The sequence below is a fragment of the Homo sapiens genome, chromosome 18, assembly GCF_000001405.40.
Source record: "Homo sapiens chromosome 18, GRCh38.p14 Primary Assembly".
NCBI classification, from domain to species: Eukaryota; Metazoa; Chordata; class Mammalia; order Primates; family Hominidae; genus Homo; species Homo sapiens.
In genome coordinates, this window is record NC_000018.10 from 47,019,913 (window position 1) to 47,044,569 (window position 24,657).

General features: G+C 48.8%; 2 protein-coding genes and 1 pseudogene across 24 annotated transcripts in view, besides 6 other annotated features; 1 reads left to right on the forward strand and 2 right to left on the reverse strand.

Moving 5' to 3' along the window:
• Positions 1-24,657, forward strand: part of KATNAL2 (katanin catalytic subunit A1 like 2) — a 184,650-nt gene that overhangs the window by 102,319 nt on the left and 57,674 nt on the right. The window lies entirely within an intron of this gene.
• Positions 207-970: an enhancer, noted in NCBI's record as "H3K4me1 hESC enhancer chr18:44552405-44553168 (GRCh37/hg19 assembly coordinates)". NCBI's record gives its function as "activates a minimal SCP1, AML or CMV promoter by ChIP-STARR-seq in naive and primed H9 embryonic stem cells {active_cell/tissue: H9 hESC(naive and primed)}" and the evidence as "EXISTENCE:reporter gene assay evidence [ECO:0000049][PMID:30033119]".
• Positions 971-1,734: an enhancer, noted in NCBI's record as "H3K4me1 hESC enhancer chr18:44553169-44553932 (GRCh37/hg19 assembly coordinates)". NCBI's record gives its function as "activates a minimal SCP1, AML or CMV promoter by ChIP-STARR-seq in primed H9 embryonic stem cells {active_cell/tissue: H9 hESC(primed)}" and the evidence as "EXISTENCE:reporter gene assay evidence [ECO:0000049][PMID:30033119]".
• On the reverse strand, positions 2,275-4,115 carry ELOA3BP (elongin A3 family member B, pseudogene; annotated as a pseudogene).
• Positions 6,817-7,017: a silencer, noted in NCBI's record as "peak3137 fragment used in MPRA reporter construct". NCBI's record gives its function as "represses an SCP1 promoter by STARR-seq MPRAs in K562 erythroleukemia cells {active_cell/tissue: K562}" and the evidence as "EXISTENCE:reporter gene assay evidence [ECO:0000049][PMID:32103011]".
• Positions 8,662-9,165: an enhancer, noted in NCBI's record as "H3K27ac-H3K4me1 hESC enhancer chr18:44554945-44555448 (GRCh37/hg19 assembly coordinates)". NCBI's record gives its function as "activates a minimal SCP1, AML or CMV promoter by ChIP-STARR-seq in naive H9 embryonic stem cells {active_cell/tissue: H9 hESC(naive)}" and the evidence as "EXISTENCE:reporter gene assay evidence [ECO:0000049][PMID:30033119]".
• Positions 9,166-9,668: an enhancer, noted in NCBI's record as "H3K27ac-H3K4me1 hESC enhancer chr18:44555449-44555951 (GRCh37/hg19 assembly coordinates)". NCBI's record gives its function as "activates a minimal SCP1, AML or CMV promoter by ChIP-STARR-seq in primed H9 embryonic stem cells {active_cell/tissue: H9 hESC(primed)}" and the evidence as "EXISTENCE:reporter gene assay evidence [ECO:0000049][PMID:30033119]".
• Positions 9,669-10,171: an enhancer, noted in NCBI's record as "H3K27ac-H3K4me1 hESC enhancer chr18:44555952-44556454 (GRCh37/hg19 assembly coordinates)". NCBI's record gives its function as "activates a minimal SCP1, AML or CMV promoter by ChIP-STARR-seq in naive and primed H9 embryonic stem cells {active_cell/tissue: H9 hESC(naive and primed)}" and the evidence as "EXISTENCE:reporter gene assay evidence [ECO:0000049][PMID:30033119]".
• ELOA2 (elongin A2) lies at positions 12,615-15,709 on the reverse strand. The gene has a single exon (NM_016427.3). It carries the CDS (start codon positions 15,350-15,352, stop codon positions 13,091-13,093), a length of 2,262 nt encoding a protein of 753 aa, NP_057511.2. The 5' UTR covers positions 15,353-15,709; the 3' UTR covers positions 12,615-13,090.

The window sequence follows — 24,657 nt, forward strand, 5'->3', positions numbered from 1 at the left end:
GAATTCTATCTGGGGTAGATTTATATTTTGTGCGGGGGTTGTTTCCTTTCTGTGTTTTCGAGCGGGATTGTCGCTGTGGGAGCAGGGATCTGCTAAGGTTTGTCTCGTTCTCCAGTAATGAATGAGTTTAATGGGTGCAGCCGCTGTTTTCAGTAGCATGCCAGTGGGGGCATCGATGAGCTATGAGGGGCTAGAGCTTGCTCGGATTGTTTCCTTGTGTTTGTGTTTTGAGATGCGTTTGCTTGTGTCATGTTTGTTTTCCATTTTGGCAGGGGAAAGGTTTTCCAGGAAGAAAGGTTGTTGCCAGTGGATTTGGTTCCGAGGGGCTGGGGTTTCTGGCTGGGAGTGGGGAGGGGCTGCACGGTGATCGGTGGCTACTCCACCTCCAGAAAGAGCGTGTGGCTTCTCTGCCTCGGGGAGGATATTCTGCTCTCTTGTGAGTTTTGCAAGCCACCCGAGATTCTCTCTTGAATTGCTGTCAAGAAATAGAGACCGGCGTTGTCTCTGGCCCTCGCTGGGGAAGCTTTTCTGAGGTTTTGTTTTTTTAATTTGAGACGGAGTTTGGCTTTTGTTGTCCAGGCTGGAGTGCAATGGTGGCATCTGGGCTCACTGCAAACTCGGCCTCCCGGGTTCAAGCGATTCTCCCGTCTCAGCCCCCTGAGTAGCTGGGATTACAGGCGCTCGCCAGCAAGCCCAACCGAGTTTCGTCTTTTTAGAAGAGACGGGATTTCCTCATGTTGGTCAGGCTGGTCTGCAACTCCGGACGTCAGGGGGTCCGCCGGCCTCGACCTCCCAAAGCGATGGGAATAGAGGCGTGAGTCACCGTGCCCGGACATGTCTGAGTTTCACAGGGTCGCTGATTGGATTATGTCCCCTTCCCCGGCACGAATGCTTTTCTGTCTTCCTTAAGGGTAGTATCTCTGTGGCACCCTGTTCTGGCTCCTTACGTGTTCTTCAGGCTTGAAGGCCTCTTTTCACGTGCACCGGCATCCACTCAGGTGCCTGCTTCCAGAAGCTTCCCAGCACCCACTCTGCTGACAGCCAAGGGCACAGGACTTTGATCTCTTCTGCTGCCCTTGCTGGGTTTTGCCTTGCGGCTTAGGTCTTTCTATTTCTCTCTCTATCCCTCACTGTCGGTAACGCCTAAGAACCAAGTTTACTTAATGGTGTGTGTGTGTGTGTGCGCGCGCGCGTCCGTGTGCGTGCTCATGTGTGCGTGTGCGTGTGTGTGTGCGTGTCTTTCTTTGTGTGTATGTGTGTGTGTCGTATCTGGCACACGGACCTGTGATTACCAGCCCGCGTGAAGCCAACAAATGCCCTGAGTTAGAATGCAAACTTTCACCAAAGCTTGCAGGAGCTCGTAGGAGGTGAACTCAAGGTAGTTAACCCGGTCATCTCATGGTAATTAGAAACTCTGCTTGGCAGGTTTAGACTTCCTGATCGAGAACCTAAAGAAGCTGATTGAGGTGTCGCCATTCTTTCACAGGGGTTCTGGCTGAAAAGATTGGGATTGATTCTTTGCCGTGCTTAGTAAAAGTATTTTGACTTAAGGAACGTAGCAGTTGTTAGCATTTATGTATGAAATCCAGGAGTTCCTTTCTTCAGATAAACAGCAGGTTTCTTTGAGATGTGCTCCGCTTGTGTCACCCAGGCTGGAGTGCAGTGGAATGAGGAAGGGTCACTGCAGCCTCCGCTTGCCCAGCTCAGGCGATCCTGCCACCTCAGCCCTCTAAGAAGCTGGGACCACAGGGGCCGTGCCACCACGCCGGGCTCATTTTGGTATCTTTTGTGGAGACGGGGTTTCTCCGTTTGGCCCAGCCTGTTCTCCACCTCCTGGGCTGCAGCGATCTGCTTTCCTCGGCCTCCCAGAGGAGGATGGCCGACGATTACAGGATCATGCCCGGCCTTTTCCCCGAAAGAAAACACCAACAGCAACAAAACATTTTGCGTAGTCGGAGTTATCAGTGTCAACTGGTGGATTGAGAGTTTGTGTCTAAGAAGTCCTTCCTTATGCACTGGATGATTTCAAAAGAAAGGAGAAAAGACAAAAGGGAATCTCACATCTTGTACCTGATTTATGATTGCAACTAGGGCGTTATTTAAAAGACGATCAGTGAACCACCAAAGTAGAATTGATCCGAATGCGTTCATAATATCTTCTGAATTCTGAGGTGTCCTCCAAGCAGGGAGGCAGTGGCTGGGTGTGGGAGGCAAAAATCACAGGGCCAGCACTTGACACCTGCAGGATTCGGAGGCTCAACTTTGCACCAAGCCAAGGGTTCTGGTGTCCGTCGCAAGTTTCGTTCCCCAACCCGCATTGACTTTGCATTGGCCCTCCTCCCCCCGGATTTTATCCGTAAGGCAAGTCCTGAGTTTATCGTCGGGAGAATCTTCCCTTGTAGTCTCGAATTGCCTTGGCCATCAGCGGGGCCACTTTCTTGGCAGCCTGTTTTCGGGTTTTGTCCGCGGGCGCCGCGTGCCGGTTGCTGCTGCCGCCGCCGCTCACGCTGCCGCCGTCGCCGTCCCCGAGGCCGGAGGGAGCCTGGCTGCTTCCTGCGGGCTTGGGGGCTGGCTCCATCTCTCCATTTCCGGGGTCAGCGGCTCCTGCAGACTTCTCTTGCCTCCTGGAAGCATCATAAGGCGTCTTGGCCACAGAGTTGAAACAGATCATCTTTGTCTGTCGGCCGCTGGGTTTGTTTTCACGTGCGGATCGGATTTTCGTGGTCACTACTCGCAGCCGCTGCTCTCGGGCGTCCCGAAGCCGCAGGTACAGCTCCCGCCAAGACTCGTGCTCCTGTGGCTTTTCTTCCTTGAAGTCCTGGAGGCAATGAATCCTCCATAATTCATCTGTCTCTCGAGCGAGTGCGGCATTGTCTTTCTCTGTGCGGTACAGCTGATCGGGCGTCCACCCTTCCAGAACGGGTTCAAGAACCGAGTAGGGGACCCCTTCCACGTCGCCGAGGGCGTCCGGATTGTTCCTAGGCACCCGGAGGCACTGCTGGCGCAGCGTCGGCACCTGGAGCTGGCAGGCAGGCCTGGAGCCCGAGTACACCGGCATCTTAGCGTTCACTCTGCGTCCAGGGAAAGCAGCTTCCTCCTGGAGCGCTGGCGCGCAGAGTGCTTCTGGGTTTGCCTGGGAGGTCATGGCCTCAAAAGCGGACAGCAGATCGTAGTTGGCCTGCATCCAGGCCTCTGAGGGGTCCCAGAGCTCCGAGAAGACATGGCTGGGCACCGTTTTCGGCCCGGCGGAATCAGCGCCGGCCGCCTGCAGCCTCTCTGACTGGCTTTCCTGGACAGGAGGCGATTTCTGAGCCGAAGCCCCGCGGGACGATTTGTGCCCCTTGCTGTGGCTCCCCACCGCTTCCCCCTGGGGTTGGCCCTGGCAGCCTTGACCCAGCAGAGGCCCGCCCTGAGCGGCGTGAGCGTGGCCTCTTCCGGGTTGCTCCCCGGGCACAGCGGGCTCAGGGCCCTCGGGCATCGGGAGGGGAGCGGTGCGCGTTGGAGGGTCCCGATGGGGGCCGGAATCAGCTGGGGCCATTCTGGGGCGCTTTCTCTCGGCTCTGGGCTCGCGACTGGGAGACCTCGGGTGAGGTCTCTGTTGCCCCGGAGGTGTTCTGCGTGCTGTCCGTCTGTGCTCAGGGCTGTGAGATGGGCTCCTGGGGGCCGTCGCGTTTTCTGGGAAGCCCCAGGCCTTTTCCCGCTCCTGAAGAGCCTCCCCGAAGCGCTGTCGGGAAGCGCTCTCCTCAGGGTCCTGCGGGTCAGGCCCGGTGTTTCGGTCCACGAGCACCAGCTTCTTCCACCGGGCCGCTAAGTCTCTGGCAAAGTCGCCCACGTGCTGGTGCTTCCGCAGGCGCTTCACCGTCTTTCTGATTCCAGTCTCCGCCAGGATGTCTGCGGTCATGGGCAAGGCGGAGAGTTTCTGCAAATATTTCTCTAGCTTTTTCGGCTCCGTCTTAGTGGCCAGACGCACCTGCAGCTTCCCCACTGCGCGCAGCGTAGTGGACCCTGCCGCCATCTCGCCAGAGCTGTGCAGGCGTCGCTGTCCTCGCGGTCGCGGCTCTGTCCGAGCTCGGGGCGGCGGCACAGGCAGTCTGGGGTGGCCGGTCCTCGCTGCCCGGTCGCCAGGCGGCGACCTCGGGATGTGGAGTCACAGCCTGGAGCGAGCTGGGTCCTCGGAGCAGCGGGCCACTTGGTCTGGAACGCCGGTCCTTGCAGACAGCTGAGCAGGCCCGCTTCTGTTCCTCGGGATGTGCGGCCGCAGCCTGGAGTGTGACCTGTGCGGTGCGCCGTCCAAGGCGGAGTGAAGCTCCGCTGCCAGAGCCCGGCCTTATATAGCCAGCCCCGGGCCCACCCAGGGCTCAAGCCCTGACCCCCCTGGGCCCCTGGGCTGCCCCGCCCCGATAGGAATTCATTCCGTCAGCCCAACGCAGCCAATCGGGGCGGTCCACGCCAGGTGGACTGCTGTGCCCCGCGGGGTCATTAGGTTAATTGCAGCCTGGACACACCCCACTGAGTTCTACCGTTGGCCCTCCATGTACCCAGCTTCCACATCTGTGGATTCCAAAAGACACAGAGAGAATCTTCTTGGGAGTAAAAGCGAAAATAACAACACCGCAAGACAGAATCGTAGGAAGAAGAACCAACAGAGGATGACAACTCTTTACCTGGCATTGACGTTGTGTGAGGGGACTTGGAAACATTGGTAGAAAAGTGGGATTAAGGGAGAAAGAGGAAAAAGGCGTATTTTACTCCTCAACCTCGGCTCCATCAGCATCAAGACCCTTCTGGAAGCAGTGTCTTTTCCCCGCCGTCTAGCCCATCCCTTAAAGCCCCCAGGGTCCTGGGAATTTAACTATTTCCATGCAATCTTTTTTCCATTGTTAACTGAAGAAAACTGGGTGCCCCTTACAGGTTTTCCAAGACAAGGAAACAAAGAGAAGTCAGCAGGCGCCAAATCAGGATTGTCAGGTGGACGCCTCACGGTTTCCCATGGCAAGTCTTGCCCAGCTGCCCTTGTTCGAAGAAAGGCATGATCAGGAACACTGTCGTGGTGGAGAAGAAGTCTCTGGTGGGGACCTTCTTCGCTCCAGCTTTGGCTAACTTTCTGAAAACGCTCTGCTAGCGAGCAGATGTGATCAGGGTTTGGCCCTGCAGAAAGTCAACCAGCAGAATCCCTCTAGCATCTCCCCCCCCCACCCCGCCCCCAACGGTGGCCATGACCTCTGCTCTTGACTGCTCCTCTGCAGCTTCGACTGGAGCACTGCCACCTCTTGGTAGCCATGGCTTCGTGCTTGGTCTTCAGGATCCTGCCGGTAGAGCCAGGTTTCATCTCCTGTGACCAATCTTGGAAGAAATGCTTCAGGATCTTGCTCCCACCGGTTGTTTAAAATCTCCTCGGAAAGGCTTGCTCTGGCCTGCAGCTGATATTGGTGCCACGGTTTGGGCAGCCGAGTTCCACTCTCACCTTTCAGTCCAAATGAGGAAAACAGAACCATTTGAAGTGTCTATGGTGTCGGCTATTGTTTCTGCTGTCGGCGGCGATTTCGCGTAATGTTTACATTCTCACATGACTTTCTCTCTCTCTCTCTCAGTGTGTGTGTGTGTGTGTGTGTGTGTGTGTGTGTGTGTGTGTGTGTCTCTTCTGCAGAAAGATAATCGTTATAGCCTGAGAATCGGGGAATGGGGATTCGGGTGTTAAGCCTTTTCTGAGAATTACCCTCCGTGTTGTGCAGAGAAATAAGTAAATTTGCTGTGTTTCCAGACTTCCAGCTGCCTCACGAAGAGGATCGTAGTGCAATACTGGCGATGCCTCCAGAGCTCCCTGAATGAGGTTTATCTTGTAAATAGGTGGGAAGAGAATTGAGCTGTCCTGGGTCAGTGTAGTAATGTTACAGCAGGATCCTTAGGTTGATGCTGAATTCTATCTGGGGTAGATTTATATTTTGTGCGGGGGTTGTTTCCTTTCTGTGTTTTCGAGCGGGATTGTCGCTGTGGGAGCAGGGATCTGCTAAGGTTTGTCTCGTTCTCCAGTAATGAATGAGTTTAATGGGTGCAGCCGCTGTTTTCAGTAGCATGCCAGTGGGGGCATCGATGAGCTATGAGGGGCTAGAGCTTGCTCGGATTGTTTCCTTGTGTTTGTGTTTTGAGATGCGTTTGCTTGTGTCATGTTTGTTTTCCATTTTGGCAGGGGAAAGGTTTTCCAGGAAGAAAGGTTGTTGCCAGTGGATTTGGTTCCGAGGGGCTGGGGTTTCTGGCTGGGAGTGGGGAGGGGCTGCACGGTGATCGGTGGCTACTCCACCTCCAGAAAGAGCGTGTGGCTTCTCTGCCTCGGGGAGGATATTCTGCTCTCTTGTGAGTTTTGCAAGCCACCCGAGATTCTCTCTTGAATTGCTGTCAAGAAATAGAGACCGGCGTTGTCTCTGGCCCTCGCTGGGGAAGCTTTTCTGAGGTTTTGTTTTTTTAATTTGAGACGGAGTTTGGCTTTTGTTGTCCAGGCTGGAGTGCAATGGTGGCATCTGGGCTCACTGCAAACTCGGCCTCCCGGGTTCAAGCGATTCTCCCGTCTCAGCCCCCTGAGTAGCTGGGATTACAGGCGCTCGCCAGCAAGCCCAACCGAGTTTCGTCTTTTTAGAAGAGACGGGATTTCCTCATGTTGGTCAGGCTGGTCTGCAACTCCGGACGTCAGGGGGTCCGCCGGCCTCGACCTCCCAAAGCGATGGGAATAGAGGCGTGAGTCACCGTGCCCGGACATGTCTGAGTTTCACAGGGTCGCTGATTGGATTATGTCCCCTTCCCCGGCACGAATGCTTTTCTGTCTTCCTTAAGGGTAGTATCTCTGTGGCACCCTGTTCTGGCTCCTTACGTGTTCTTCAGGCTTGAAGGCCTCTTTTCACGTGCACCGGCATCCACTCAGGTGCCTGCTTCCAGAAGCTTCCCAGCACCCACTCTGCTGACAGCCAAGGGCACAGGACTTTGATCTCTTCTGCTGCCCTTGCTGGGTTTTGCCTTGCGGCTTAGGTCTTTCTATTTCTCTCTCTATCCCTCACTGTCGGTAACGCCTAAGAACCAAGTTTACTTAATGGTGTGTGTGTGTGTGTGCGCGCGCGCGTCCGTGTGCGTGCTCATGTGTGCGTGTGCGTGTGTGTGTGCGTGTCTTTCTTTGTGTGTATGTGTGTGTGTCGTATCTGGCACACGGACCTGTGATTACCAGCCCGCGTGAAGCCAACAAATGCCCTGAGTTAGAATGCAAACTTTCACCAAAGCTTGCAGGAGCTCGTAGGAGGTGAACTCAAGGTAGTTAACCCGGTCATCTCATGGTAATTAGAAACTCTGCTTGGCAGGTTTAGACTTCCTGATCGAGAACCTAAAGAAGCTGATTGAGGTGTCGCCATTCTTTCACAGGGGTTCTGGCTGAAAAGATTGGGATTGATTCTTTGCCGTGCTTAGTAAAAGTATTTTGACTTAAGGAACGTAGCAGTTGTTAGCATTTATGTATGAAATCCAGGAGTTCCTTTCTTCAGATAAACAGCAGGTTTCTTTGAGATGTGCTCCGCTTGTGTCACCCAGGCTGGAGTGCAGTGGAATGAGGAAGGGTCACTGCAGCCTCCGCTTGCCCAGCTCAGGCGATCCTGCCACCTCAGCCCTCTAAGAAGCTGGGACCACAGGGGCCGTGCCACCACGCCGGGCTCATTTTGGTATCTTTTGTGGAGACGGGGTTTCTCCGTTTGGCCCAGCCTGTTCTCCACCTCCTGGGCTGCAGCGATCTGCTTTCCTCGGCCTCCCAGAGGAGGATGGCCGACGATTACAGGATCATGCCCGGCCTTTTCCCCGAAAGAAAACACCAACAGCAACAAAACATTTTGCGTAGTCGGAGTTATCAGTGTCAACTGGTGGATTGAGAGTTTGTGTCTAAGAAGTCCTTCCTTATGCACTGGATGATTTCAAAAGAAAGGAGAAAAGACAAAAGGGAATCTCACATCTTGTACCTGATTTATGATTGCAACTAGGGCGTTATTTAAAAGACGATCAGTGAACCACCAAAGTAGAATTGATCCGAATGCGTTCATAATATCTTCTGAATTCTGAGGTGTCCTCCAAGCAGGGAGGCAGTGGCTGGGTGTGGGAGGCAAAAATCACAGGGCCAGCACTTGACACCTGCAGGATTCGGAGGCTCAACTTTGCACCAAGCCAAGGGTTCTGGTGTCCGTCGCAAGTTTCGTTCCCCAACCCGCATTGACTTTGCATTGGCCCTCCTCCCCCCGGATTTTATCCGTAAGGCAAGTCCTGAGTTTATCGTCGGGAGAATCTTCCCTTGTAGTCTCGAATTGCCTTGGCCATCAGCGGGGCCACTTTCTTGGCAGCCTGTTTTCGGGTTTTGTCCGCGGGCGCCGCGTGCCGGTTGCTGCTGCCGCCGCCGCTCACGCTGCCGCCGTCGCCGTCCCCGAGGCCGGAGGGAGCCTGGCTGCTTCCTGCGGGCTTGGGGGCTGGCTCCATCTCTCCATTTCCGGGGTCAGCGGCTCCTGCAGACTTCTCTTGCCTCCTGGAAGCATCATAAGGCGTCTTGGCCACAGAGTTGAAACAGATCATCTTTGTCTGTCGGCCGCTGGGTTTGTTTTCACGTGCGGATCGGATTTTCGTGGTCACTACTCGCAGCCGCTGCTCTCGGGCGTCCCGAAGCCGCAGGTACAGCTCCCGCCAAGACTCGTGCTCCTGTGGCTTTTCTTCCTTGAAGTCCTGGAGGCAATGAATCCTCCATAATTCATCTGTCTCTCGAGCGAGTGCGGCATTGTCTTTCTCTGTGCGGTACAGCTGATCGGGCGTCCACCCTTCCAGAACGGGTTCAAGAACCGAGTAGGGGACCCCTTCCACGTCGCCGAGGGCGTCCGGATTGTTCCTAGGCACCCGGAGGCACTGCTGGCGCAGCGTCGGCACCTGGAGCTGGCAGGCAGGCCTGGAGCCCGAGTACACCGGCATCTTAGCGTTCACTCTGCGTCCAGGGAAAGCAGCTTCCTCCTGGAGCGCTGGCGCGGAGAGTGCTTCTGGGTTTGCCTGGGAGGTCATGGCCTCAAAAGCGGACAGCAGATCGTAGTTGGCCTGCATCCAGGCCTCTGAGGGGTCCCAGAGCTCCGAGAAGACATGGCTGGGCACCGTTTTCGGCCCGGCGGAATCAGCGCCGGCCGCCTGCAGCCTCTCTGACTGGCTTTCCTGGACAGGAGGCGATTTCTGAGCCGAAGCCCCGCGGGACGATTTGTGCCCCTTGCTGTGGCTCCCCACCGCTTCCCCCTGGGGTTGGCCCTGGCAGCCTTGACCCAGCAGAGGCCCGCCCTGAGCGGCGTGAGCGTGGCCTCTTCCGGGTTGCTCCCCGGGCACAGCGGGCTCAGGGCCCTCGGGCATCGGGAGGGGAGCGGTGCGCGTTGGAGGGTCCCGATGGGGGCCGGAATCAGCTGGGGCCATTCTGGGGCGCTTTCTCTCGGCTCTGGGCTCGCGACTGGGAGACCTCGGGTGAGGTCTCTGTTGCCCCGGAGGTGTTCTGCGTGCTGTCCGTCTGTGCTCAGGGCTGTGAGATGGGCTCCTGGGGGCCGTCGCGTTTTCTGGGAAGCCCCAGGCCTTTTCCCGCTCCTGAAGAGCCTCCCCGAAGCGCTGTCGGGAAGCGCTCTCCTCAGGGTCCTGCGGGTCAGGCCCGGTGTTTCGGTCCACGAGCACCAGCTTCTTCCACCGGGCCGCTAAGTCTCTGGCAAAGTCGCCCACGTGCTGGTGCTTCCGCAGGCGCTTCACCGTCTTTCTGATTCCAGTCTCCGCCAGGATGTCTGCGGTCATGGGCAAGGCGGAGAGTTTCTGCAAATATTTCTCTAGCTTTTTCGGCTCCGTCTTAGTGGCCAGACGCACCTGCAGCTTCCCCACTGCGCGCAGCGTAGTGGACCCTGCCGCCATCTCGCCAGAGCTGTGCAGGCGTCGCTGTCCTCGCGGTCGCGGCTCTGTCCGAGCTCGGGGCGGCGGCACAGGCAGTCTGGGGTGGCCGGTCCTCGCTGCCCGGTCGCCAGGCGGCGACCTCGGGATGTGGAGTCACAGCCTGGAGCGAGCTGGGTCCTCGGAGCAGCGGGCCACTTGGTCTGGAACGCCGGTCCTTGCAGACAGCTGAGCAGGCCCGCTTCTGTTCCTCGGGATGTGCGGCCGCAGCCTGGAGTGTGACCTGTGCGGTGCGCCGTCCAAGGCGGAGTGAAGCTCCGCTGCCAGAGCCCGGCCTTATATAGCCAGCCCCGGGCCCACCCAGGGCTCAAGCCCTGACCCCCCTGGGCCCCTGGGCTGCCCCGCCCCGATAGGAATTCATTCCGTCAGCCCAACGCAGCCAATCGGGGCGGTCCACGCCAGGTGGACTGCTGTGCCCCGCGGGGTCATTAGGTTAATTGCAGCCTGGACACACCCCACTGAGTTCTACCGTTGGCCCTCCATGTACCCAGCTTCCACATCTGTGGATTCCAAAAGACACAGAGAGAATCTTCTTGGGAGTAAAAGCGAAAATAACAACACCGCAAGACAGAATCGTAGGAAGAAGAACCAACAGAGGATGACAACTCTTTACCTGGCATTGACGTTGTGTGAGGGGACTTGGAAACATTGGTAGAAAAGTGGGATTAAGGGAGAAAGAGGAAAAAGGCGTATTTTACTCCTCAACCTCGGCTCCATCAGCATCAAGACCCTTCTGGAAGCAGTGTCTTTTCCCCGCCGTCTAGCCCATCCCTTAAAGCCCCCAGGGTCCTGGGAATTTAACTATTTCCATGCAATCTTTTTTCCATTGTTAACTGAAGAAAACTGGGTGCCCCTTACAGGTTTTCCAAGACAAGGAAACAAAGAGAAGTCAGCAGGCGCCAAATCAGGATTGTCAGGTGGACGCCTCACGGTTTCCCATGGCAAGTCTTGCCCAGCTGCCCTTGTTCGAAGAAAGGCATGATCAGGAACACTGTCGTGGTGGAGAAGAAGTCTCTGGTGGGGACCTTCTTCGCTCCAGCTTTGGCTAACTTTCTGAAAACGCTCTGCTAGCGAGCAGATGTGATCAGGGTTTGGCCCTGCAGAAAGTCAACCAGCAGAATCCCTCTAGCATCTCCCCCCCCCCCCCCCGCCCCCAACGGTGGCCATGACCTCTGCTCTTGACTGCTCCTCTGCAGCTTCGACTGGAGCACTGCCACCTCTTGGTAGCCATGGCTTCGTGCTTGGTCTTCAGGATCCTGCCGGTAGAGCCAGGTTTCATCTCCTGTGACCAATCTTGGAAGAAATGCTTCAGGATCTTGCTCCCACCGGTTGTTTAAAATCTCCTCGGAAAGGCTTGCTCTGGTCTGCAGCTGATATTGGTGCCACGGTTTGGGCAGCGGAGTTCCACTCTTACCTTTCAGTCCGAATGAGGAAAACAGATCCATTTGAAATATGTATGTTTTCGGCTTTTGTTTCTGCTGTCGTTGGCAGTTTCGCGTAATTTTTAATTTCTCGTGTGACTTTTTTTGTGTCTCTCTGTCTTTCTTTTTGTGTGTGTTGTGGTGGGGGCGGGGTGTGTTTCTTCTGCAGAAAGAAAATCATTATGCCCTGAGAATCGGGGAATGGGGATTCGGGTGTTAAGCCTTTTCTTATAAGTACCCTTCCACAGTTTGTAGAAAAATAGGTAAATTTGCTGTGTTTCCAGACTTCCAGCTACTTCTCCAGGAGAATCGTAGTGTAATACTGGCAATTCTTCAGAGCTAGAATGAGGATTATTTTAGTAGAGATGGGATCTTTTTCATATTGGTCGTCCTGGTCTTTAACTCCTTACCTTATGTGATCCACCCACCTCGGCCTCCCAAAGTGCTGAGGTAGGGCCTTGAGCCTCCCCACCTGGACTTTTTTGAGTTTTATATGGTTACTGGCAGTGTCACATCCCTTTTCCCAGAAAGAATGCTTTCTTGTCTTCCTGAAATGCAGTATCCCTTTGTCTCCATCCTGGCTTTTTTCCTGTGTGTGTGTGTATCATATCTGGCATACGTTCCTTTGATTACCAGCCCGTGTGAGGCCAACAAATGCCCTGCTTTATAATGAAAAGTTTTAAGAAAGCTAGCAGACGTCCGTGTGATCTGAACTCAAGGTAGTTAACCCGGTCCTTTCATGGTAATTAGAAAATCTGATTGGCCTCTTTAGACTTCTTGATTCAGAACCTAAATAAGCTGATTAATGTGTCACCATTCTTTCATAGGGGTTCTGGGTGAAAAGTTTGGGAATGATTCTATGTGTTACTTAGGGAAACTATTTTGGCTTAACGCATGTACCAGTGATTACCATTCACTTATGAAATCCGATAGTTCCTTTTTTCTAAGAAATAGCAGTTTTCTTTGAGCCATGCTCAGGTTCTGTCACCCAGCCTGAAGTGCAGTGGAATGATGAAGGGTCACTGCAACCTCTACTTGCCCAGCTCAGGCAATCCTGCCACCTCAGCCCTTTAAGAAGCTGGGACCACATGGACCGTGCCACCATGCCAGGCTAGTTTTGATATCTTTTGCAGAGACGGGGTTTTCCTATTTTGCCCAGGCTGTTCTTCACCTACTAGGCTCAAGCGAACTGCTTTCCTCCACCTCCCAAAGGAGGATGGCTCACGATTACAAGATCATGCTCAGCCTTTTATTAAAACAACAACAACGGCAGCAACAGCAAACATTTTATGTATTCGGAGTTATCAGTGTCAACTAATGGCTTGTGTGTTTTTGTCTAAGAAGTTCTTATCTACTTGATTTCGAAAAAAAAAAGAAAGGAAAAAGGAAATCTCACATCTTTTTCCTTATTTATGATTACAACTAGGGTGTTTTTAAAAATTATCAGTGAACATCCAAAATAGAATTGTTCCCAATGCGTTCATATCTTCTGAATTCTGAGGTGTTCTCCAAGCTGGGAGGTAGTGGCTGGGTGTGGGAGGCAAAATCACAGGGCCAGCACATGACACCTGCAGAATTCAAAGGCTCAACTTTGCACCAAGTTAAAGGTTCTGGTGTCCATTGGAAGTTTCGTTCCCCAACCCGCATTGACTTTGCCAATGCAAAAATCCCCCCAGATTTTATCTGCAAGGCAAGTCCTGAGTTTATCGTCGGGAGAATCTTCTCTTGTAGTCTCGAATTGCCTTGGCCATCAGCGGGGCCACTTTCTTGGCAGCCTGTTTCCGGGTTTTGGCCGCGGGCGCCGCGTGCTCATTGCTGCTGCTCAGGCAGGGGTTGGCCCGCTTCTCAGGGAGCCAGCGAAGGATGCTGCTGCTGCTGTCTCTGCCACCGCCGCTGCTGCTCTGGCTGGAGGGAGTGTGGCTGCTTCCCGCGGGCTTGGAGGCTGGCTTGATCTCCCCATTTTCGGGGTCAGCGTCTCCTGCAGACTTCTCTTGCCTCCTTGAAGTATCATAAGGCGTCTTGGCCACAGATTTGAAACAGATCATCTTTGCCTCTCTGCCGTTGGGGTTGTTTCCACGTGCAGATCGGATATTCGTTGTCATTACTCTCAGCCGCTGCTCTGGGGCGTCCGGAAGCCGCAGGTACTGCTCCCTCCAAGTTTTGTTTTCCTGTGGCTTTTCTTCCTTGAAGTCCTGGAAACAATGATTCCTCCGTAATTCGTCTGTCTCTCTAACGAGTGCGTGATTGTCTTTCTTTCTGCGATACAGCTGATCGGGCCTCCACCCTTCCAGAACAGGTTCAAGAACCCAGTAGGGGACCTCTCCCACGTCGCTGAGGGCGTCCGGATTGTTTCTAAGCACCTGGGCACACTGCTGGCGCAGCGTCGGCACCTGGAGCTGGCAGGCAGGCCTGGAGCCCGAGTACACCGGCATCTTAGCATTCACTCTGCGTCCAGGGAAAGCAGCTTCCTCCCGGAACTTTGGTGAAGAGAGTGCTTCTGGCTTTGCCTGGGAGGTCATGGAGTCAGAATCCGAAAGCGGATCGTAGTTGGCCTGCATCCAGGCCTCTGAGAGGTCCCAGAGCTCTGAGAAGACATGGCTGGGCACCGTTTTCGGCCCGGCGGAATCAGCGCCGGCCGCCTGCAGCCTCTCTGACTGGCTTTCCTGGACAGGAGGCAATTTCTTAGCCGAATCCCAGGACTCACGAGTGCCCTTGGATTCGTTTGCTTTCCTTTGTTTATCTCCAAGTGCAGTGGTGGCAGATTTTCCAGTCTTTTTCTTTTGCTTCCGCAACTGATCGTAGGTGAGGTATTTTTCACATGACAGAGTGGGCTGCTCGAATTCCTCAGCCATATCTACCTCCTCCACCTCAGAGAGGGAGCTCACGGACGTTCTGTCCAAATGAGCAGTCGGTGGCTTCCCCTCTTGAGTCTCTCGGTCGTTGGAAAGCTGCTCTTTCTCCTCGGGCGACAGGCCGTGTGTCCCATTTCCTGGGTCCCGGCCGTCTAGACTGGGCCTCTTCTTGTTCGAGTGACTGTGCTGAGGCCTCTTCTGGTGACTGTCTGGAGCCTCCTCCAAGGCAGGGACACGCTGGCCGCTGCCAGCTTGCCCCCCTTCCTTGTCTGTCTTGAAGTCCGAAGGCTGCCTGTCCCTGGCACTTGCCCAGGAGGGCATCCTTGGGGTTTCCTCTCTTAAGCAGGCCCCGCATGATTTCTCCCTGATCAAAGTAGGGGAGTGCCAATCTCCCTGGGCACACAAGGGGCGTTTTTCCTGGCGAGACGATTTGTGCCCCTTGCTGTGGCTCACAACGGCTTTCCCCTGGGGTTGGCCCTGGCAGCCTGGACACAGCAGAGGCCCGCCCTGAGCCGCGTGAGTGTGGCCTCTTCCGGGTTGCTTCCCGGGCGCAGCGGGCTCAGGGCCCTCGGGCATCCGGAGGGGAGCTGTGCGCGTTGGAGAGGCCCGATAGCGGCCGGAATCAGCTGGGGCTATTCTGGGGCACTTTCTCTCAGCTCTGGGCTCGCGACTGTGAGACCTCGGGTGAGGTCTCTGTTGCCCCGGAGGTGTTCTGCGTGCTGTCCGTCTGTGCTCAGGGCTGTGAGATGGGCTCCTGGGGGCCGTCGCGTTTTCTGGGAAGCCCCAGGCCTTTTCCTGGTCCTGAAGAGCCTCCCCGAAGCGCTGTCGGGAAGCGCTCTCCTCAGGGTCCTGTGGGCCAGGCCGGGTGTTTCGGTCCACGAGCACCAGCTTCTTCCACCGGGCCGCTAAGTCTCTGGCAAAGTCGCCCACGTGCTGGTGCTTCCGCAGGCGCTTCACCGTCTTTCTGATTCCAGTCTCCGCCAGGATGTCTGCCGTCATGGGCAAGGCGGAGAGTTTCTGCAAATATTTCTCTAGCTTTTTCGGCTCCGTCTTAGTGGCCAGACGCACCTGCAGCTTCTCCACTGCGTGCAGCGTAGTGGACCCTGCCGCCATCTCACCAGAGCTGTGCAGGCGTCGCTGTCCCGGCGGTCGCAGCTCTGTCTTTGGGGCTGCGGGACAGGAAGTCTGGGGTGGCCGGTCCTCGCTGCCCGGTCGCCAGGCAGCGACCTCGGGATGTGGAGTCACAGCCTGGAGCGAGCTGGGTCCTCGGAGCAGCAGGCCACTTGGTCTGGAACGGCCGTCCTTGCAGACAGCTGAGCAGGCCCGCTTTTGTTCCTCGGGATGTGGAGCCACAGCCTGGAGTGACCTCTGCAGTTTGCTGTGCAACAAAGAATGAAGCTCTGGTGCCAGAGCTGGGCCTTATGTAGCCCATCCCAGGCTGACACTCACGGCTCTAGCCCTGACCCTCTTAGCTCTTGGGCTGCCCCGCCCCCATACGTACTCATGCCGTCAGCACAATGCAGACAATCGGGACGGTCCACGCCAGGTGGACTGCTGTGCCCCAGAGGTTGATTAGGTTAATTTCAGCCTCGACACACCCCACTGAGTTTTACCGTTGACCTTCCATGTTCGCAGGTTCCACATCTGTGAATTCCAAAAAACACAGACTGAATCTTCTTGGGAGTAAAACAGAAAATAACACAGCAAGACAAAATCATAGAAAGAAGAACCAATACAGGATAACAACTCTTTGCCTAGGACTGATGTTGTGTGAGGGGACTTCCCAAATTTGTCAAAACAGGGATTAAAAGACAAAAATAAAACCGGTAGATTTTATTTCTTAACATCTGCTCCATCAATTTCGAGACAGTAGTTCGAGCACTGTCTTGACCCCGCCTTGTCCCTCAAGCCCTGATGTTTCTGGGAATTTAACTATTTCCAAGAAATCTTTTTTCCATTATTAACTGAAGAAAACTGGGTGCCGTTTGCAGAATTTTTAATACGAGGAAATAAATAGAAGTCAGCAGGTTCCACATCATGACTGCAAGGTGGACGCCTCATGATCTCCTTTTGAAACTCTTGCCAAACTGCCCTTTGTTCAGTGAAATGCTACAGCAAGAACTTTTTCATGATTAGGTAGAACTCTCTGGTAATGGTTTTTCTGCTCATGCTTTGGCTAGTTTTCTCAAAAACTCTGTTAGTAAGCATATTTGATCTTGGTTTGGCCCTTCAAAAAGTCTTTTAGTCATATCTTTTGAGCATTCCCCAAAACTGTTGCCATGACCTCTTCTCTTGACTGGTCCTCTCTGTCTTTGACTGGAGTGCTGCCACCTTTTGGTAGCCTTTGTTTTGTGCTCTTTCTTCAGGACTATCCAGTGTAGCCATGTTTTATCCCCGCTTACAAATCTTGGAATAAATATTTCTGGATCTTCTTCCACCTGTTTTAAAACTTTAAAGAAATTTTTACTCTTGTCTCTAGCTATTATTGTTGAAACAGATTTGGTATCTGGATCGGACTTTAATTTTCAGTGACAATTATTAAAACAGGATCATTTGAAATATCTATGGTTTTTTCTCTTATTTCTGTTGTTACTTATTTACCCTCTCAAATTAGGGAACACTTGGTCCTATGTTTCTGAGCATAGTTGACCAATTCTGACATTGTATTAAATTCAATAAATGTCTTTTCTGGATCTGTAGACACTTCTTTTGATATTTCTAGCATTTTTTTGGGTTGTACAGCATTTGAAAGTTAGGAAGTTTCCTGGCAGAGCCAGGAGATAGTCAGGAAACAAACAAGAAACAAATTAGAACCTACAGGTATATATATTCAACCTTTTAGGGGAATATTAGATGCAGGGACTGTAAAACAGAAGTATAGTAAAGACATTTGAAAGAAGTGATGTATGCTTTTTAACTGTTTGTTTTTGAGATTGAAAGCTTAATGCAAAATTTGGATCTTATTACTGAAATTGAAACGAGCTCATGCAAATTAATCTCCATTGCACCCGTAAAAAGGAAATTAAAAGCACTAATGTTGCATGTGGTGTATATACAGTAACATTTCCTAAATATCTTCTGGGTCTAAAACTGGGAATGATATTCAATGCTTCCTTTTCCTCAGGCTATGGTATCATAGGATTCAATTTTGAATTTGATAATGGAGGTATATTTGTGGCACAATAGCCCACAAAGGAAATGAAAGAAAACAAAAACAGCCAGATTATTGAAACATGCAAATGAGACACCTAGATTAGATGTTCACTTCTGGGCCTCCTTTCTTTGTACACAGAAATTAATGAGCATGTAATTGTGTCCATTTCAGGGGCACACCATCTCTTACAGTTTAAATGGATCCTTTTTGCGGGGAATGGCTCATTCTTAGTTTTTTTTAATTCAGAAGATAATTTTCTAGGTTAATTTGAATGGCCTGGGCAGAAAGATGTAGATCTGGCCAACTTTATACCTTTAATTAAGAAATTTGTAAGACTGCATTCTGTGTTTTCAGTAACAGAAGCTCATCTTAAATATTTAACACTACATTTGGAATAGTGTTTTTAAAACTCTCTTTTCCTGCTTTACTCTTACTGAATTCTGAATTTTTATCACTCTTACCACAAAATAAAAATCACATTATTATTTTAAGACCTGGTCACCACAAGTAAAAGCTGCTTCACAGTCCACATAGTAGGAAAGCCATTTTTTTTTTTTTATTAGAGATGGGAGTCTCCCTATGTTGCCCAGGCTGCTCTCAAACTCCTGGGCTCAAGTGATCCTCCCACCTTGGCCTCCCAAATTGCTGGGATTACAGGAGTGAGCCACAGTGCCCGACCATGAAAAGCCATTTTTGATGCAGCCTCATTACCAGACAGAGTTCTAAAGGACTCAGCCAATCCCCATTATAGACATCGACTCTTTTGCAAACTGTGATTCTAATAAAAAAAAAGTGGAAATTCTTTTGATTGGAGTTGAAGTACCTGCCATTTTGCAGAAATGTAATGAAAACCCTGAGTAAGCCTGTCTTTTAGGCTATTCTTTCAAAAGTATGATCAACATTGCTCAGATTTGTTTAGGATTAAGAATTAGACCTCTGTCTCAAGAATTAGAGCTTTTGCTTTCTTATTTATCCTGATTAACTGTGTTAATTAGGTCAGTGGTTCACTGTTTAAATGACTCTCCAGGGATTCTAAAAAGGAGTTTGAAGGAAATAATTCTGACAAATGTTCCAACTTGCTTTTATTAGGGTTGCTATGAAACTCACTATCCTACCTGTGGGTAGTAGAAAATAAACTGTATTTTTCTGCCTCTGTGTATGTGCATGTATGTGCACACATGGAGTATTTCTATAATATAGTGTAATTGATCCTCTAGAGTATAAATTGCTGAGTGATATTGCTGGGTCGACAGGTATGCGCATTTTTCTCTTTGATAGATTTTGTCAATTTGCTCTGCAAAAGGGTTGTACCAACTTACATTCCCACCAATTGTATCTGAAATACAATATTCTTTCAATACCTTACCAAATCTGGATGTAAAAATGTAAAAAATAGCTGCACTTTAAAAAATTTGAGAGTCTTATTGAAAGAAGCTTATTTTTGTACCAAAAAACTGAAGAAGTATAGACAATAGTTAAGGTGGTTTCTTCAACTTGTATATATATTGCAAATTATTATAAAACCCACAAGAAAAACTGCAAAGAGAAATGTCTGCTGTAAATGAATATGTGAAGATTCTGAACACAGAAATGCCTGTATTACTCTTCTGTTCAGTAAGTCTACTCCTGTAGTCACACTGATAGAGCAAGGCTGGGTAGTAATAAAGTGTCATTGCTACACTCCAAAGCAGAAACAGGCTCTGTCTGGGGGCTGAAAAAGCAGGCCCTCATGGTGCTGTGTGTGATAACCAGTTCTTTTACCCCCATCATTTCCATCTTGAATAGCTTCAAAATATTGCATATAATGATTTATATTTTCAGTTAGACTATTTATTTTATATATCAAGCCACAATTTTACTTAAATTATTTACATTTATTTAAGCCTTCTTTTCTCTGCCCCTCTCCCACATTTTGCATTTTAAAATATCTTTATTCATATACCTTACAACTCACCATTTAAAATGTACAATTCCATGGCTTTCAAGATATTCACAGAGATATACTTCCATTGCCTTGATCAATTTTAGAACCTTTTCATTAGCCCAAAGAGAAATTCTGTACCCTTTACCTGCCATCCCCTCCACCCACTGCCTCCTGCAGTTCTCCCATCCTCCCCAGTCCTCTCCTCCCTGCTTTTAAATGTTTCTTCCAGGATCTTTTTTTTTCTGTTCCTCTAATAAATCTAATGAGTTTTCCCTAATGAGTTTTTCATCCCACTAATGAGGGTCTTCCTCTGGGTATATGCATGTCTGTGCACACATGGAGTATTTCTATAATATAGTGTAATTGACCCTCCTCATCTTTAAGAAATTCAGCCAAACCCAGTGCAGTGGATCCAGTACTGAGGAGCACACAGAACACTAGCTACTTTTTCTCAGTGACCTAGTCCTAGAGAACATTTGCACAAGTACATGTTTCAATTAGGAAGAAGCAAATGCTTCTAGTGAAGGATAGAGAGACTCTGAAATGCATGTACGAAGCAACTAACAGCTATTGGGCACCCACCAATTACTATCCCTAATATTGGCATAGCACCCCCACAGTTTTCAAAGCACTTTCCAGGCTTTATTTCATGTGATGTACAGGACACTGTGTTAGAACCTCTAATATGGAGGGATATGGACATTGTTAGAAATGGGACCAGTCAGTGTCCAATATAGTCTTTAGAAAAATGTAGATCACTTTCATGTCTCTTTAAGCCAATTCCCATCTTTGCTTTCTCAAAGACTTTTACATGCATATGAAATGGATTAGCTTTATTTACAGCAGGTCTGCAACTATTCAGCAATTAAAAGACATAATCTCTTATAAGACATACTACTCCTGGTACAGCAGGGTGACTAACCTTTTGAAGGAGGTCTAGCCAGTAACAGCTTTGGAATGGTCACTAATATTGTGGGAAATTAGGTTTGAGAAATTGTAAAAGACATCATTCATTTATTACTCTGTTAGGTCAACTAGGAAAGACCGGCTGGTAACCACAGTTGTTTGTTTCTGGCAAGTTTGGCCCACAGGTTTTGGTAAATTAAAATAGTGGTTGTGCAGGGTATGGATTTTATGAAATGATATAAAGTAGAAGATTATCTCTGGTCTGGAGTGAATATAAATTGGTGAGAGAATGATGAGGAGGAGTTGATGAAAGGAAGAGCATTGGCCTAGAAGCCAAGATTCTGCTTTCAACTATTTGGGCTTTTCAGCAAATAACATATGCATTCTCTGCATATGTTAAAAATCAAGTATAAAAACATTTAATGCCTTGGAAAAATATTTATAAAATATTATTTCTAAAAATAAGTTATCAGCTTACATGAGAGTACTACTTTGTAAGAAGACTTAAAAAGTATAGGCTGGGTGGAATGGTGCACACTTGTAGTCCCAGCTACTTGGGAGGCTGAGGTGGGAGGATCACTTCAGCCCGGGTGTTCAAGGCCAGCCTGGTAACATGGTGAGATCCCTGTCTCTAAACAAATAAAATTAAATTTTAAAAAAGAATGTGACCAAAATGTGTTTTTTTCTCATGGTTTTATGCATTGTACCAGTTTTCTACCACGATTATTTTTGTAAATGCAGCTTGGGGGAAGACTGTGGTCATTAATCTATATTGAATACAATTTTATAATAAGAGTTTCAGAAGTTTTTTGAGCAATGGAATAAGAACATGATCTGCCAAGGAACTAATTTGAAACCATAAACATCCATTTAAAAGCAGTAGGCCTGACAAATTAGTCACTGCTTTTTAAAAAATAGAATTTATTTTTTAGCGCAGTTTTAGATTCACAGCCAAATTGAACAAAGTATAGAGAATTCCCACGTACCTCTCTGCATGCTCACCTTCCCCCACTGTCAACATCCCAAAATACAGTGGTATGTTGTTAAATCGATGAACCTACACTGGCATGATTATCAACCAAAGTCCATTTTACATGAGGGTTCATGCTTGCTGTTGTACATTCTGTGGTTTTGGACAAATGTATAATGATGCCTATCGGTTACTATAATCTATCATATAGAATGGTTTCGCTGCCCTAGAAATCTTGTACTCTACCTATTCATCCCTTCCTCCCCGCAACCCCTGGCAATCACTTATCCTTTTACTGTCTCTATAGTTTTGCCTTTTCCAGAATGTTATCTATTTGGAATCATACAGTATATAGGCTTTTCAATTGGCTTCTTCCACTTAGTGATATGCATCTAAATTTCCTTCATGTTCTTTCATGGCTTGATAGCTCATTTCTTTTAGCTCTGAATAATATTCCATTGTCTGAGTATACCACAATTTATTTATCCATTCACCTACTGAACGACATCTTGGTTGTTTCTAAGTTTTGGCAATTATGAATAAAGCTGCTATAAACATCCCTGTGCCAGTTTCTCTGTGAACATAAGTTTTCAATTCATTTGGGTAAATACCAAGGGTTGCAATTGTTGGGTCAGAGTAATTGCTGAGTAAGAGTATGGTTAGTCTTTACTTTAAAAAAACCTGCCAAAGTGCCTTTCAAAGTGTTTGTACTGTTTTGCATCCCACCAGCAATCAGTGAGTTTCTGTTGCTCTACATCCTCGCCAGCATTTGCTATTTTGGATTTTCACCATCCCAGTAAGTGTGCAGTGGTACTTCACTGTTGTTTTAACTTTCCATTCCTTGATGATGTGATGTTGTCTTTTCATATGCTTGGTTACCATCTGTATATCTTCTTTTGTGAAGTGTCAGTTCATGTGTTTTGCCCATTTTTAAGTGGATTTTTTTTTTAGTGTTGAATTTAGGAGGGTTTGTCTGTGTTTGTATATTTTGGATACCAGTCCTTTATCAGATACGTCCTTTGCAACTATTTCTCTCATTCTGAATCACTACTTTTTATGTCATCTATTTTATAGGTTCGAGGATTATATTTTTAAATCTCTTTTTCTTTTGAACTTCTGAGAGCCCTGACTTTTATTTATTTTAGACTAAATTCAAAGCAACAACTAGCTTTTGAATGGCAGAGAGCAAAATCGATCAAACAAGTAGTACTTACTATGCTCCCTTCACAAACATTTTGAAACACAGGTTGCCTTATTTGTTGTGTTTTCTAGCACTCTGAATAAAGGCTTATCATCTTAAGCAATAAAACTTTCTATTTGAATTCTTTTGGATGGATATGTTTATAAAATAGGTTACTGTTTTACCTGCCTACTTACATTGCAAATATTGAGCATAACTGAACCTCTTCATTATGACTTTAAATCATAAGATAATACTCTAAAAAACAAGAATAAGATGCTATGAAAAAAGAAAGAATCAGAGAATAAGAAGAAGCTCCTGGAAATTAAAAATGTTATTATCTAAATAAATTCTGCTAAAAAATAAGGCCAAGGAAATTGCTCAGAATATAGAACAAAAGAGACAAAGGAATGGAACACTGTGGGAAAAAAAGTCTTTAAAAATCAGTTCAGGATATCCCCTATCCAATTAATAGGTATTCATAAAAATAAACCAGAGAAAAAATAGTGAAATAATTTACCAAAGAAATAATAAAGAAGTTTTCCAAAAATGAGAACATGAGAATTTCTAGCTTGACAATGGCTAGGCAGTGAATGGAAAATGACCTACACCAAAGAAATTGTGTAATTTTAGAACCCTAGGGTTAAAAATGAGATCGTAGGCTGGGCGCGGTGGCTCACGCCTGTAATCCCAGCAGTTTGGGAGGCCAAGGCGGGCGGATCACGAGGCCAGGAGATCGAGACCATCCTGGCTAATACGGTGAAACCCCGTCTCTACTAAAAATACAAAAAATTAGCCGAGCGTGGTGGCGGGCGTCTGTAGTCCCAGCTACTCGGGAGGCTGAGGCAGGTGAATGGCGTGAACGCGGGAGGCGGAGCTTGCAGTGAGCAGAGATTGCGCCACTACACTCCAGCCCCGGCGACAGAGCGAGACTCCGTTTCAAAAAAAAAAAAAAAAAAAGAGATCCTAAAAGCTTCCTGGGAAGAAAAATTACATTACATGCAAAGGATCAGGAATAGGAATGGTAATGTTATACCTTTTCAAGCTATCAAGCTTAAAGTAGAATAAAGACACTTTCAGGCATACGAATTCTCAACATTTATCTCCCATACACCTTTACTCAAGAGAATGTGTGCTATTTTTTGTTGATGTTGTTGCTTTGGTAATTTACGAAGAAAAGAGGTTTAATTGACTCATGATTCCACAGGCTGTACTGGAAGCATGGCGGAAAGTGTGCTATTAAAACAAGAGAGGGACCAGAAGAGAAAGATTCAGTTTCTAGGGGATCCAATGCAAGAAAATGTCAAAGGGAAATCCCAGAAAAAGCATCTATTGCAGGTCTTAGAGTCAGTCTCTAGAGTAGAACGGGAGGATAGAGGCTCCAAGAGGGAAGCAAGAGGTGAGTGAGTAGAAAGGACACAAAATCTTATGTATTTGATGGCATGGGAAGTGATATGAGATGTGTTAGTGTTTTGATTATTAACAATACGTATGTTGAAAAGTAACCTAATAAAAATGGGGTGGTTATTCATTTCAAAAAAAAAAAAAATGTACAGAAATGGAAAAGTAACCATGGTATTTTTGGCTCCACAGTGAACAACTTTTATATGGTCCTAATAATGTAATCAGCAAATATTGATCCAACTGTAGGGAAGGATAGTTTGAAAAGGGTATAAGACAGCTTAGTTCTCATCTGTCTTAAAGGAAGTGAATAGTTAATGCCTAACACACATATCATGAAACAATGATATATTATTTAGAAACATGGAAGTACATATCAGAAGAAACAGCTAAAATAATTAAGGTTGTTTCCTCTAGGGCAAGGGTGTCCAAACTTTTGTGTTCCCTGGGCCACAGTGGAAGAAGAATTCCCTTGGGCCACACATAAAATACACTAACACTAATGATAGCTGATGAGAAAAAAAAAGCAAAAAAAAATCTCATGTTTTAAGAAAATTTACAAATTTGTGTTGGGCCACATTCAAAGCTATCCTGGGCCACAGACAAAAAAGTAGAGAGGTGGTTGCCAGGGGCTGGGGGCAGGGGAGATGTGGAGTTACTCTTTAATGGAAACGAAGTTTCAATTCGGGAAGATGAAAATTTTCTGGAGATGGATGGTGGTGATGGTTGTACAACAATGTGAATGTATTTAATGACACTGAACTGTACACTTAAAAATGGTTAAAATGATGGCCAGGTGCGGTGGCTCACGCCTGTAATCCCAGCACTTTGGGAGGCCGAAGCAGGCGGATCATCTGAAGTCAGGAGTTCGAGACCAGCCTGG